A 12,698-nucleotide genomic window follows, 5' to 3' on the forward strand; every position below is an offset into this window, starting at 1 on the left:
AAATGCAACAGCTTGGCGGATCCAACTGCAAAGTCTGCCAGGCTCAGGCTTGCTTGGGCCATTGAAGGATTCTGTGTGTTTTCTCCTCTGGCCTCAGATGTGTTAAGTATTCCTCCAGCGTGCCCACCCTCTGAGGCCAGAGATAGGAGGTCATCAGGCCGTCAGCTGGCAGAGAGGAAGTCCCTTCTGACCTTGAACAGCCGGTGAACTGCTATCCACAGTCTGAGAAGTAGCCACACTCTCATGTTGCCCATGCCTTGATGAAATACCTAGCCAACTTTGAGGCCTTCCCCCATGTGCCTTTAACCCTCCTGTACCAGGTATTTTCAAGTAGCTGTTTCTTTTCTTTGGAAATTTTTCTCTTTCTCTGTCTAGACACATTTTTCAAAGTCTAGACAGAGACCCAACTCCTCCAGGAAGCCTGTGTGGATGATGACAGTCTCTGATAGTTTTTCCTTCCTCTGATTGCTTGCATTTTCTGTACAAATTTACCACAAACTTGCCTGTCTCATGGTTACCTTAGAAATAATGTTGATCTTGTTTTACATTTTTTTTTTCCTTTCTAAAAGGCAAGCATTGTACTTCATACTTCTTTGAATGTCTGCAGACCAGCACATAAAAGGAGCTCAATGCCGCTTTGTAAAATGGCCTTTCTGTGATTCTGGGAGAACCTGGTTTACACTGTGGACTATCAGTAGTGTGTGTGTGTGTGTGTGTGTGTGTGTGTGTGTGTGTGTGTGTGTGGTGATGGACGGCCATCCTGCTCCAGGCCTCAGGAAGTGGGAGTAGGCAACTGTGAGATTAGACAAACCTGGAATATTCACAGCATTGTCGCCTTTAATACATTCCAAATGCGAACTGCAGTGGCTGAGAGTGACTTGTTTCATAGGCTCCTTTCTTTCCCCTGCCAGCCCATGAGTGTTAGGAAAGGAGAGTTGCCTAATTGATCTCTGCAGCTGCAGGACCCAGCACAAAGCCCTGCCCTCAATAAGTACTCATACATTTGTAGGAAACATTGTTCTCTCCTCTCCCCATCATCCCAGGTTGGCCCATACTAATAAAGAAGAAGTCCCTCCCTTTCTGAGGTTTTAGAGAAAATTGGCTTCCCTCCTTTCCTTGCCCCGCACTCATCATCCCCAATGGAGGGGAGCACAGGATAGGATGTGAAACTGGGGGAAGGAGCTGGAACCGGATGGCTCCTATCACTGGGGTGGTCTCTTTTCCAGAACAGCCTATCCAGGGGTCATACACTTCCTTCTTCCCTATGGAGAGGTCTGCAGTGGTCTGTCTGTCAGCTGACGGGAAAGTACAATTGGAGGGAGCATGTAAATGCTCTATTATGTCCCCAGATGCAAAATGTTTCCAGTTCTGCTTCACTCACAACAAACCTGATGTTTTCATCTCTTTCTGTATTCTTTCTGAACTCTGAGCAGGGAGAGGAGCCATCATTAACTATCACTACCACATCTCAATAAAGGGAAATATCTTGAAATAATATATCTTGAAAAATGAATGCTGGGCCTGCCTTACCTCCGCTTCTCTGTATGTGTCACTCTTGCAGGCCAGTCTCTCACTTCACCTCCATGAGCACGGGCTGCACTGCTGGTGTGAACCATGGCAGGACTGATGCCTCAGGATTTCAGAAAGAAGAAGAAAGCAAAAGACTTTTCTGAGCGCTTCTTTTTGTCCTGAGCTGGCCTCTACTATCTGGCAGGCCGTATATTTGCAAGAGGTCCTACATAATGGCTTTGAGGATTCGGGTGAAGGTGGTTGAGGAGAAGCCTAGTGTGAACTCAGATAGGCAGGTCTCCTGAGGTATGGAAGGAGAGTTTATGTATTCACCATGCCTTTTCTTTTCTTCATACTTTGACGGTATGAAGTGTGAAGTGGGTAGCTAATTCCCAGAGATCACAGACAACTCCTCTGGGAGCTTGCCTTTCATATGCAAAGCAACCAATCCACAGCCTACTCCCACCACCTCCTCTATGGGGATTTCACACTCTGGGCCAGCCTTCCCTTCCCTAATCACCCCAGGGCAGGGACCAGACAGCTAAGGACAGCCCCTAAGTCCTCAGAGCCTTGAAATGATTCAAACCAGCCAATCCTAAGCATGCGTATCCTGCCTTGCCTGTGTTCCCCATGGAAACCACAGTAAAGGCTCTTGCTGGTGCTTTGCTCCTCCACCCACCTCCAGACTGACCCTGACGCTTCCCTGTATGCACTGCCCCCCATGTAGTGCACCCCATCCTCTTGGGATCTGTGAGTAATGAACTGTCTTTTCAGTGGCACTTGTCTGCTGATCTGTTGGCCTTGCCAAACCTAAATGATAAAAAAGCTTATATTTTAAAACAGTTTAGAATTACTGAACTCGAAAGAGAGTCATGAATAGAAGAATAATAATATCGCCATCTCTCATTGGAAACTCACTTTGTGCCAGTCGTTTCTGTAAGTTTATTCACTGCATTAGTTAATTCAATCTTCACATGTTCTCCTGTCCACTGATGCATTTTTCAAATCAGGAAAATGACTGGGATCAGAGGAGATAAATAACCCTTCCAAGGTGACACATCCGGGGAGCGGACGAGCAGACACAGAAAACAGCACACATTTGCAGAAAGGAAAGGAAATGGTGGAAATGGCTGTGGGCTGGCTTCAAAGTGAAGGATTTTGTTGTTTGCGAGAATTGGAAATCACTGCTGCCTTCATGAAGTTGCAGCAGATAAGCCATCTGGCCTTTGCACATGAAAGATCCCTGTCCCTGGTTATTTATTTATTTTTTAATTTAATTTTTTTTTTTGAGACAGAGTCTCACTACGTTGCCAGGCTAGAGTGCAGTGGGATGATCTCGGCTCACTGCAACCTCTGCTTTCCCGGTTCAAGCGATTTTCCTGCCTCAGCTTCCAGAGTAGCTGGGACTATAGGGGTGCACCACCATGCCCAGCTAATTTTTTTTTGTATTTTTAGTAGAGACGGGGTTTCACCATGTTGGCCAGGCTGGTATTGATCTCCTGACCTCGTGATTTGCCTGCCTCAGCCTCCCAAAGTGCTGGGATTACAGGCATGAGCCACCGCCCCCAGCCTTGTCACTGGTTTTTTAATAACTGGTGATGAAAACTGATGGGTTGGCTGGACACCCATGAAGAGTCTTCCGCTTATCAGCTGAAGACAGCGCCAGGCCTCACAAATCCCTGCCGCTCACAGGCTCCTGTTCTCATGCCCCAGGTAGCTCAGAGACCACTGGAAGTCTGAATCACATCAAACCATTGCCTGAGCCACAGTTCCTCTTGGCCTCACAGGGCTTCTGTTGCTTAAAGGCCCCAGGGAGTGATTTGTGGAAACCATAAATCCATTTTACAGTTGAATGTCAACTGTAATGCCTTCTACTCAAAGGAAGCCAAGAACTAAATTTCAAAAAAAGTGAATGCCACAAACTCTGGCTGTTTACATTACGTCAAAACAAGTTGAAAATTCAAGTTCAGTTGCTGCCCATCTTCCTGTGTTTTTCAATTTTGCTATAAGAGATTCACAAAGGTGGTGGTGTTTCTTTTTTTCTTTTTTTCTGCTAGATTCCTTGTAACTTAAAACTGATTGACATTGGTCTGATGAATGTGTGTGGTGTAGACAGTCCAGGGCTTCCAAGTCCATGTGGGCAAGGCACCGTATTTCAAAAGACAACCTAGAAGGGGAAGTATTAGTGCCTCCAAATTCAGTGTGAGTTGAGCATCAAAATCACCTGGCAGGCTCTATGAACGTGACCCCAACTGATGGCCCTTTGACACTACCTGCTGGAGCCGGCTGAGTTTGCCCATCTCACTTATTAAACACTTGCTCCTTCAGAAAATCCTACTTTAGCTTTTGTTTAGCTGGGAATTTCAAAGACAGATCTTTCCTTCCAAAAAAACATATTTGAGGCCTGCAGGGTCTGGACAAGAGGATGCTTTAAATAGCTCTTACAATTTTCCCCCATTAACTGGGCCACCCCACCAAGAATGTACATCTTCAAATTCTTCCAGAGAATTCAGATGTCAGCACCAGCAGTGCACAAAGAATGAATGGTTACTGCTGGTGTGTTATGGAGGAGGAATCAGCACTCTGGGAGTCAGTGCACGGATTTTCTATTTTTGTTTGTTTTTTTGTTTGTTTGTTTCCAGACGGAGTTTTGCTCTGTTGCCCAGGCTGGAGTGCAGTGGCTCAATCTCGACTCACTGCAACGTCCTCCTCCCAGGTTCAAGCAGTTCTCCCAAGTAGCTGGGATTATAGGTGCGTGCCACCACGCCCAACTAATTTTTGTATTTTTAGTAGAGACAGAGTTTCACCATGTTGGCCAGGCTGGTCTCGAACTCCTGACCTCGTGATCCACCCTCCTTGGCCTCCCGAAGTGCTGGGATTACAGGCATGAGCCACTGCACCCAGCTGGATCCACAATTTTTGGAGTTGGCAATCATTTGGTTAAGGCATACAATTTTGCCATTTTGGTAGATTAAAAATGGTCAAATTTTAGCAGTTTCATACAGTTCGACCCATTCTACACATTTCTCCCATGTTACTGTTATCTGGAGAGAGGGTGACCCACCAACCTGGTTTGTTTAGGGCTGGTCCTCTTATGGCACTGAAATCCCACATCCAGGGAGGCCCCTCTGTCTTAGGCAGACTGGAGTGGTTGGTCACAGCTGGGAGACCAGGTTCCAGCTCCTCGGCTTGGTGTATGGGGCACCCCATTTTGCCTGCGTCCTCTGCTCCATTAAGGTGTTATTGATAAGGGCAAACATAATTATAGTCACTAAGTGCCAAACATTGTACATGACCTTATTACTCCTCAAAACAGTCCTCTGAGGCTTAGAGAAGTTAGGTGGCCTCCGCAAGATCTCACCTATATTGGGGCTGAAGCTGTCCATGACTCCCGAACCTCAGCATTCTGTTATGTGCCAGACACTCTGCTAGGCCCTGGGATTAAAATGAAGAAGACAGGCCAGGCTTTTGACACTGAAAATGGAAAAATGTTAAACAACTAGTCGTTGGATAACATTCCTTTGAAAATGCGGTGCCCCTTCCTGGATTTGAGGACACAGAAGTAGTTTGGTGATGCTGTGCTCCCTGTGAAGCCTCAGAGGCAGGGCATGGCTCCCAGACTGTGCAGTGTGTGGGGAGCGGTCAGGTAAGGTCAGTGCCTGACAGAACAGTCAGGAACTCCACACCTGACTGTTCTGGTTGGACACGTGGATTAATTTTCAGGGTTTCTCCCTGTGGATTGTTGCTCTTATGAACAGCTTTTAAAAATGGGGATTATTGGTACCTAATATTTTACTGAAAAATAAAACTTATCAGAGCACTAGACAGTTCTTTCAAAGACAGCTGTTGGCCTCCCAACTTGATCAGCTGTATTCCTCAAATGGGGGTGCTGTGGTTTCCCCAAGGAGATGAGAAACCACAGCACAAACAAAGAACATCTTGGTGGATAGCTGATTGTATTTGAAGATCTGGGGAGTTTTTCTCCATTAAAAAACAAAACAAAACAAAACAGACTCACATAAGAGGAAGGTGGGAAAAATCTTATGAATTCCTAATGTAAAACATGCAGAATTAATGATTGTGAAGTTACTTCAGCTCTACTCCTAAGCTCTCAGGTCACAGAGTTAAATTTTGAAGTGCACAGAACTGGACTTCAGTAATAAACCATGGAGTGCTAAGCTTACACGTCGTTCAATTATCCTCTGAACTGGATTTTTTTTTCTTTTGTCATGTAGGTCACCAATAATGTGGAATCCATTTCGTGGAGACAAGCTACTTTTAGTCAAAAATTGTAAGGCACGGTGAGTACTCAAGCATATGACTATAATTTTCTGAATGGACTTTAGATACCAGGGTTTAAAAGCATTTCAAAATGTCTACATCATAGTAGAAGCTTGGATTAAGCTATTTTATACTTCATAGTCACTGTGGTTCGGTCTCTAAAATTATGTACATTGTCATTGAATAAAATTCTTCTTAAACAACTAGAACAGTTGGTTGATTTTAAATGACTAATTATTGTTATATTATGTGAGAGCACATAAGATATGTTCTGCTTTACAAGTAAAGTCTGGCAACGTTTCCCATGGTTTGCAATTCAAATTGGATGTCTCTGAGTCATTAAAAAGCAGGTGAGCAGCAGATATAAAACAGTTTTTTGAAAGGGGCTATTTGTTTTCCTATATTGGCTTTGCTTAAGAGAATTATTTAAGGCTGAGAGAGGAGTGAGGATGAAGCAGGAGTTGGGCTCAATTTTGTTCACTAATTCAGTTAGCCTAGTCATTAGCTTAGCATTTTGAAGCTTGAGTGTTAGAATCTACAGCGTTCTCCTAAGAAAAAAGTAAAATGTGATCTCCAAGTCCAAATTAATGAAAAAGTTTCAATGATATTGAACAGGCTACGTGGAGGAGAGCAGAGGAAATTAGCAGGCTCCTGCCTCCTCATGGCTGTCTTGGGGAGAAGGTTGAGTGAATTGATTTTTTTTAAATTATACTTTAAATTCTAGGGTACATGTGCACAACATGCAGGTTTGTTACATATGTATACATGTGCCATGTTGGTGGGCTGCACTCATTAACTCATCATTTACATTAGGTATATCTCCTAATGCTCTCCCTCTCCCCTCCCCACTACCCCATGACAGGCCCCAGTGTGTGATGTTCCCCTTCCTGTGTCCAAGTGTTCTCATTGTTGAATTCCCACCTATGAGTGAGAACATGAGGATGAGGTGTTTGTTTTTGTCCTTGCGATAGTTTGCTGAGAATGATGGTTTCCAGCTTCATCCATGTCCCTACAAAGGACATGAACTCATCATTTTTTATGGCTGCATAGTATTCCATGGTGTATATGTGCCACATTTTCTTAATCCAGTCTATCATTGATGGACATTTGGGTTGGTTCCAAGTCTTTGCTATTGTGAATAGTGACACAATAAACATACATGTGCATGTGTCTTTATAGCAGCATGATTTATAATCCTTTGGGTATATACCCAGTAATGGGATGGCTGAGTCAAATGGTATTTCTAGTTCTAGATCCCTGCGGAATCGCCACACCAACTTCCACAATGGTTGAACTAGTTTACAGTCCCACCAACAGTGTAAAAGTGTTCCTATTTCTCCACATCCTCTCCAGCACCTGTTGTTTCCTGACTTTTTAATGATCACCATTCTAACTGGTGTGAGATGGTATCTCATTGTGATTTTGATTTGCATTTCTCTGATGGCCAGTGATGATGAACATTTTTTCATGTGTTTTTTGGCTGCATAAATGTCTTCTATTGAGAAGTGTCTGTTCATATCCTTCACCCACTTTTTGATGGGGTTGTTTTTTCTGGTAAATTTGTTTGAGTTCATTGTAGATTCTGGATATTAGCCCTTTGTCAGATGAGTAGTTTGCAAAAATTTTCTCCCATTCTATAGATTGCCTGTTCACTCTGATGGTGGTTTCTTTTGCTGTGCAGAAGCTCTTTAGTTTAATTAGATCCCATTTGTCAATTTTGGCTTTTGTTGCCATTGCTTTTGGTGTTTTAGACATGAAGTCCTTGCTCATGCCTATGTCCTGCATGGTATTGCCTAAGTTTTCTTCCAGGATTTTTATGGTTTTAGGTCTCACATTGAAGTCTGTGATCCATCTTCAATTAATTTTTGCATAAGGCATAAGGAAGGGATCCAGTTTCAGCTTTCTACATATGGCTAGCCAGTTTTCCCAGCACCATTTATTAAATAGGGAATCCTTTCCCCATTTCTTGTTTTTGTCAGGTTTGTCAAGATGGCCGATACACAACAGCTCCAGTCTACGCATCCCAGCATGAGCGATGCAGAAGACGGGTGATTTCTGCATTTCCAACTGAGGTACCGGGTTCATCTCACTGAAGCTTGTCGGACAGTGGGCTCAGGACAGTGGGTGAAGCCCACTGAGCATGAGCCGAAGCAGGGCGAGGCATCGCCTCACCCAGGAAGTGCAAGGGATCAGAGAATTCCCTTTCCTAGCCAAGGAAAGCTGTGACAGATGGCACCTGGAAAATTAGGTCACTCCCACCTTAATATTGCGCTTTTCCAGTGGTCTTAGCAAACAACACACCAGGAGTTTATATCCCGCGCCTGGCCCAGAGGGTCCCACACCCACAGAGTCTAGCTCATTGCTAGCAGAGCAGCCTGAGATCGAACTGCAAGGCAGCAGCAAGGCTGGGAGAGGAGCACCCACCATTGCTGAGGCTTGAGTAGGTAAACAAAGCGGCTAGGAAACTTGAACTGGGTGGAGCCCACTGCAGCTCAAGGAGGCCTGCCTGCCTCTGTAGACTCCACCTCTGCAGCCAGGGCACAGCTGAACAAAAGGCAGCAGAAACCTCTGCAGACTTAAATGTCCCTGTCTGACAGTTTGGAAGAGAGTAGTGGTTCTCCCAGCACGCAGCTGGAGATCTGAGAATGGACAAACTGCCTCCTCAAGTGGGTCCCTGACCCCCAAGTAGCCTAGCTGGGAGGCATTCCCCAGTAGGGGCAGAATGACACCTCACATGGCCGGGTACCCCTCTGAGACGAAGCTTCCAGGGGAAAGATCAGGCAGCAACATTTGCTGTTCAGCAATATTCGCTGTTCTGCAGCTTCTGCTGCTGATACCTAGGCAAACAGCGTCTGGAGTGGACCTCCAGCAAACTCCAACAGACCTGCAGATGAGGATCCTGACTGTTAGAAGGAAAACTAACAAACAGCAAGGACATCCACACCAAAACCCCATCTGTACGTCACCATCATCAAAGAACAAAATGATAAAACCACAAAAATGGGGAAAAAACAGAGCAGAGAAGCTGAAAATTCTAAAAATCAGAGTGCCTCTCCCCCTCCAAAGGAATGCAGCTCCTCGTCAACAATGGAACAAAGCTGGATGGAGAGTGACTTTGATGAGTTGAGAGAAGAAGGCTTCAGACGATCAAACTTCTCCGAGCTAAAGAAGGAAGATCGAACCCATCCCAAAGAAGCTAAAAAACTTTAAAAAAGATTAGACAAATGGCTAACTAGAATATCCAGTGTAGAGAAGTCCTTAAATGATCTGTTGGAGCTGAAAACCATGGCATGAGAACTACGCGATGCATGCACAAACTTCAGTAGCCCTGCAAGAGCTCCTGAGGGAAGCACTAAACATGGAAAGGAACAACTGGTATCAGCCACTGCAAAAACATGCCAAATTGTAAAGACCATCAAGGCTAGGAAGAAACTGCATCAACTAATGAGCAAAATAACCAGCTAACATCATAATGACACAATCGAATTCACACATAACAATATTAACCTTAAATGTAAATGGGCTAAATTCTCCAATTAAAAGACACAGATTGGCAAATTGGATAAACAGTCAAGACCCATCAGTGTGCTGTATTCAGGAGACCCATCTCACGTGCAGAGACACACATAGGCTCAAAATAAAGGGAAGGAGGAAGATCTACCAAGCAAATGGAAAACAAAAAAAGGCAGGGGTTGCAATCCTAGCCTCTGACAAAACAGACTTTAAACCAACAAAGATCAAAGGAGACAAAGAAGGCCATTATATAATGGTAAAGGGATCAATTCAAGAAGAAGAGCTAACTATCCTAAATATATATGCACCCAATACAGAAGCACCCAGATTCATAAAGCAAGTCCTTAGAGACCTACAAAGAGACTTAGACTTCCAAACAATAATAATGGGAGATTTTAACACCCCACTGTCAACATTAGACTGATCAACAAGACACAAAGTTAACAAGGATATCCAGGAATTGAACTCAGCTCTGCACCAAGCGGACCTAATAGACATCTACAGAACTCTCCACCCCAAATCAACAGAGTATACATTATTCTCAGCACCACACCACACTTATTCCAAAATTGACCACATAGTTGGAAGTAAAGCACTCCTCAGCAAATGTAAAAGAACAGAAATTATAACAAACTGTCTCTCAGACCAAGTGCAATCAAACTAGAACTCAGGATTGAGAAACTCACTCAAAACTGCTCAACTACATGGAAACCAAACAACCTGCTCCTCAGTGACTACTGGGTACATAAAGAAATGAAGGCAGAAATAAAGATGTTCTTAGAAACCAATAAGAACAAAGACACAACATACCAGAATCTCTGGGACACATTTAAAGCAGTGTGTAGAGGGAAATTTATAGCACTAAATGCCCACAAGTGAAAGCAGGAAAGATCTAAATTTGACACCCTAACATCACAATTGAAAGAACTAGAGAAGCAAGAGCAAACACATTCAAAAGCTAGCAGAAGGCAAGAAATAACTAACATCAGAGCAGAACTGAAGGAGATAGAGACAGAAAAAAATCCTTCAAAAAATCAATGAATCCAGGAGCTGGGTTTTTGAAAAGATCAACAAAATTGATAGACCACCAGCAAGACTAATAAAGAAGAAAAGAGAGAAGAATCAAATAGACACAATAAAACATGATAAAGGGGATATCACCACCGATCCCACAGAAATACAACTACCATTAGAGAATACTATAAACACCTCTACACAAATAAACTGGAAAATCTAGAAGAAATGGATAAATTCTTTGACACATACACCCTCCCAAGTCTAAACTAGGAAGAAGTTGAATCCCTGAATAGACTAATAACAGGCTCTGAAATTGAGGCTATAATTTATAGCCTACCAACCAAAAAAAGTCCAGGACCAGAGAGATTCACAGCTGAATTCTACCAGAGTTACAAGGAGGAGCTGGTATCATTCCTTCTGAAACTATTCCAATCAATAGAAAAAGAGGGAATCCTCCCTAACTCATTTTATGAGGCCAGCATCATCCTCATACCAAAGCCTGGCAGAGACACAACAAAAAAAGAAAATTTTAGATCAATATCCTTGAGGAACATTGATGCAAAAATCCTCAATAAAATACTGGCAAGCTGAATCCAGCAGCCCATCAAAAAAAAGCATGATCAAGTGGGCTTCATCCCTGGGATGCAAGGCTGGTTCAACACACGCAAATCAATAAACGTAATCCAGCATATAAGCAGAACCAAAGACAAAAACCACATGATTATCTCAATAGATGCAGAAAAGGCCTTTGACAAAATTCAACAGCCCTTCATGCTAAAAACTCTCAATAAATTAGGTATTGATGGGACATATCTCAAAATAATAAGAGCTATTTATGGATTGATGTTTTTATACATATTAGACTGTTTTGATGAGATGGCCTTGCCAAGTAGGTGTTTGTTTTGTTTATTTTCTTCCTTCTGTGTAAAGATTTTTAATTCCTTGAACCATCCTCTAGTTCCTATGGTTTTCTCATTGTTCTCTTAGGAAAGTGAAAGGTAATAGGAAATATGCACTCTTTACCCTTTCTTTGTTCTCGGGGGGCATTGTGATGTTACCTTGAGTCCTGTATTGAGTTTTCAGTGACAATGCTATGAGGCATGTGAGTAAGCATTTAATAATGACCAAGAACTAAGTCAGATTCAAACCCAGCAATACAGAATTCTCATTTTAATTTCAAGTTATGGATATTTGTCTTTGATTTTTATGGATTTTCCCATTTTTAAACAAACAAGTTTTCAATGCTTATCTTCTCAGTAAGAGATGGGAAGGCCTATGAACATTTTAGCAACCCAAAAGATGATTCCTCAGTTTTTTCCTAAGGGGAATGTTTTATTTATAGGTAATCAAAGGAAATGTTTGTTTCCACAGGGAAGTATGGATAAAATATAAAATCTGTTTTTCAGTATCAACTAGGGTTCACTAGGCAGTATGTTGGTACAGAGATGTAAATGTGAAAAGGAAAAATGTGAAGAAGAATTATTTTTAAATATAAGTTGCCACTTCTGTAACTCCCCCACCCCAAAAAAGAGATTAGAGTTGTCCAAGATAGCTGTAAACTTGAGTTCCTATTAATTTGCATATATATTCAGGGAATGAGATTAAATTAACAAAGGAGGAGAGAAAGCAACTCTGGACCTGGAGCACAACTGCTGTTGTGTTGATGCAGAAAATGACTGGCTCACAGACTTTCTGCAGAAGCTGCCACAATTCTTTGAGTTGTGTTAAGAAAAAACTCTGGAGCTCAAGAGAGTCTGGCTTTGAATCTAGGCTTCACCATTTATGGATTATATGAATTTAAGCATATTACTTAACCTCTAGGTTCAGTTACCTTGTCTATAAAGTGGGCACCAACAAAATACCTTGAAGTTTTAAAAAAAAATAGAACTAAGTAAGTTAATATTTGTGTAACTCATGCTGCAGTTTCTGACAAAATAAAAATTCTTAAGTGTTTACCTTTTTATATTACTCAACTAACAAGTATTTACCACTAATATTTGACATGTAATTAAAATTTTCAAACATTTAATTTTTTTCCTTGTGTTAAGATAAAATTATAGTGACATTAATAAAAAGATAACAGGTAAGGATTGTCCTTTGGTTAACTTCGGTTAATTTTAAGTGGTGTTAGTGTGATATGACTTTAGCATTACTCATTATTGGTTATTCTATGTATCAGTTAGGGGAGAGAAATCATCCAGAAATTTGAACAGGGAAAGATGAACATAAAGAATTATTAACTGTAACAGGAGACTGGAGTAAGGAGTGTTTGGCTAATAAGAACTAGAGGAATATTGGCATAGCAGCTGGAAGGAGCTGCCATTCCCCGAGGCACTGGCAGGACTTGCTGGAAATCCACCCTCTGGAACTCACTGGAG

At 42.4% G+C, this 12,698-nt stretch overlaps 2 long non-coding RNA genes across 2 annotated transcripts in view; one reads left to right on the forward strand and one right to left on the reverse strand.

Annotated features, from left to right (window-relative positions):
* Positions 1 to 9,519, forward strand: part of PENK-AS1 (PENK antisense RNA 1) — a 106,261-nt gene extending 96,742 nt beyond the window's left edge. The window contains exons 3-4 of the long non-coding RNA NR_125813.1: positions 5,745 to 5,810; positions 7,770 to 9,519. This is a non-coding gene — a long non-coding RNA (PENK antisense RNA 1). The remainder of the gene's footprint in view (positions 1 to 5,744; positions 5,811 to 7,769) is intronic.
* Positions 1 to 12,698, reverse strand: part of LINC00968 (long intergenic non-protein coding RNA 968) — a 41,506-nt gene that overhangs the window by 24,231 nt on the left and 4,577 nt on the right. The gene's annotated exons all lie outside the window — the stretch shown is intronic.

The sequence above is a fragment of the Homo sapiens genome, chromosome 8 (assembly GCF_000001405.40).
Source record: "Homo sapiens chromosome 8, GRCh38.p14 Primary Assembly".
Classification (NCBI taxonomy): domain Eukaryota; kingdom Metazoa; phylum Chordata; class Mammalia; order Primates; family Hominidae; genus Homo; species Homo sapiens.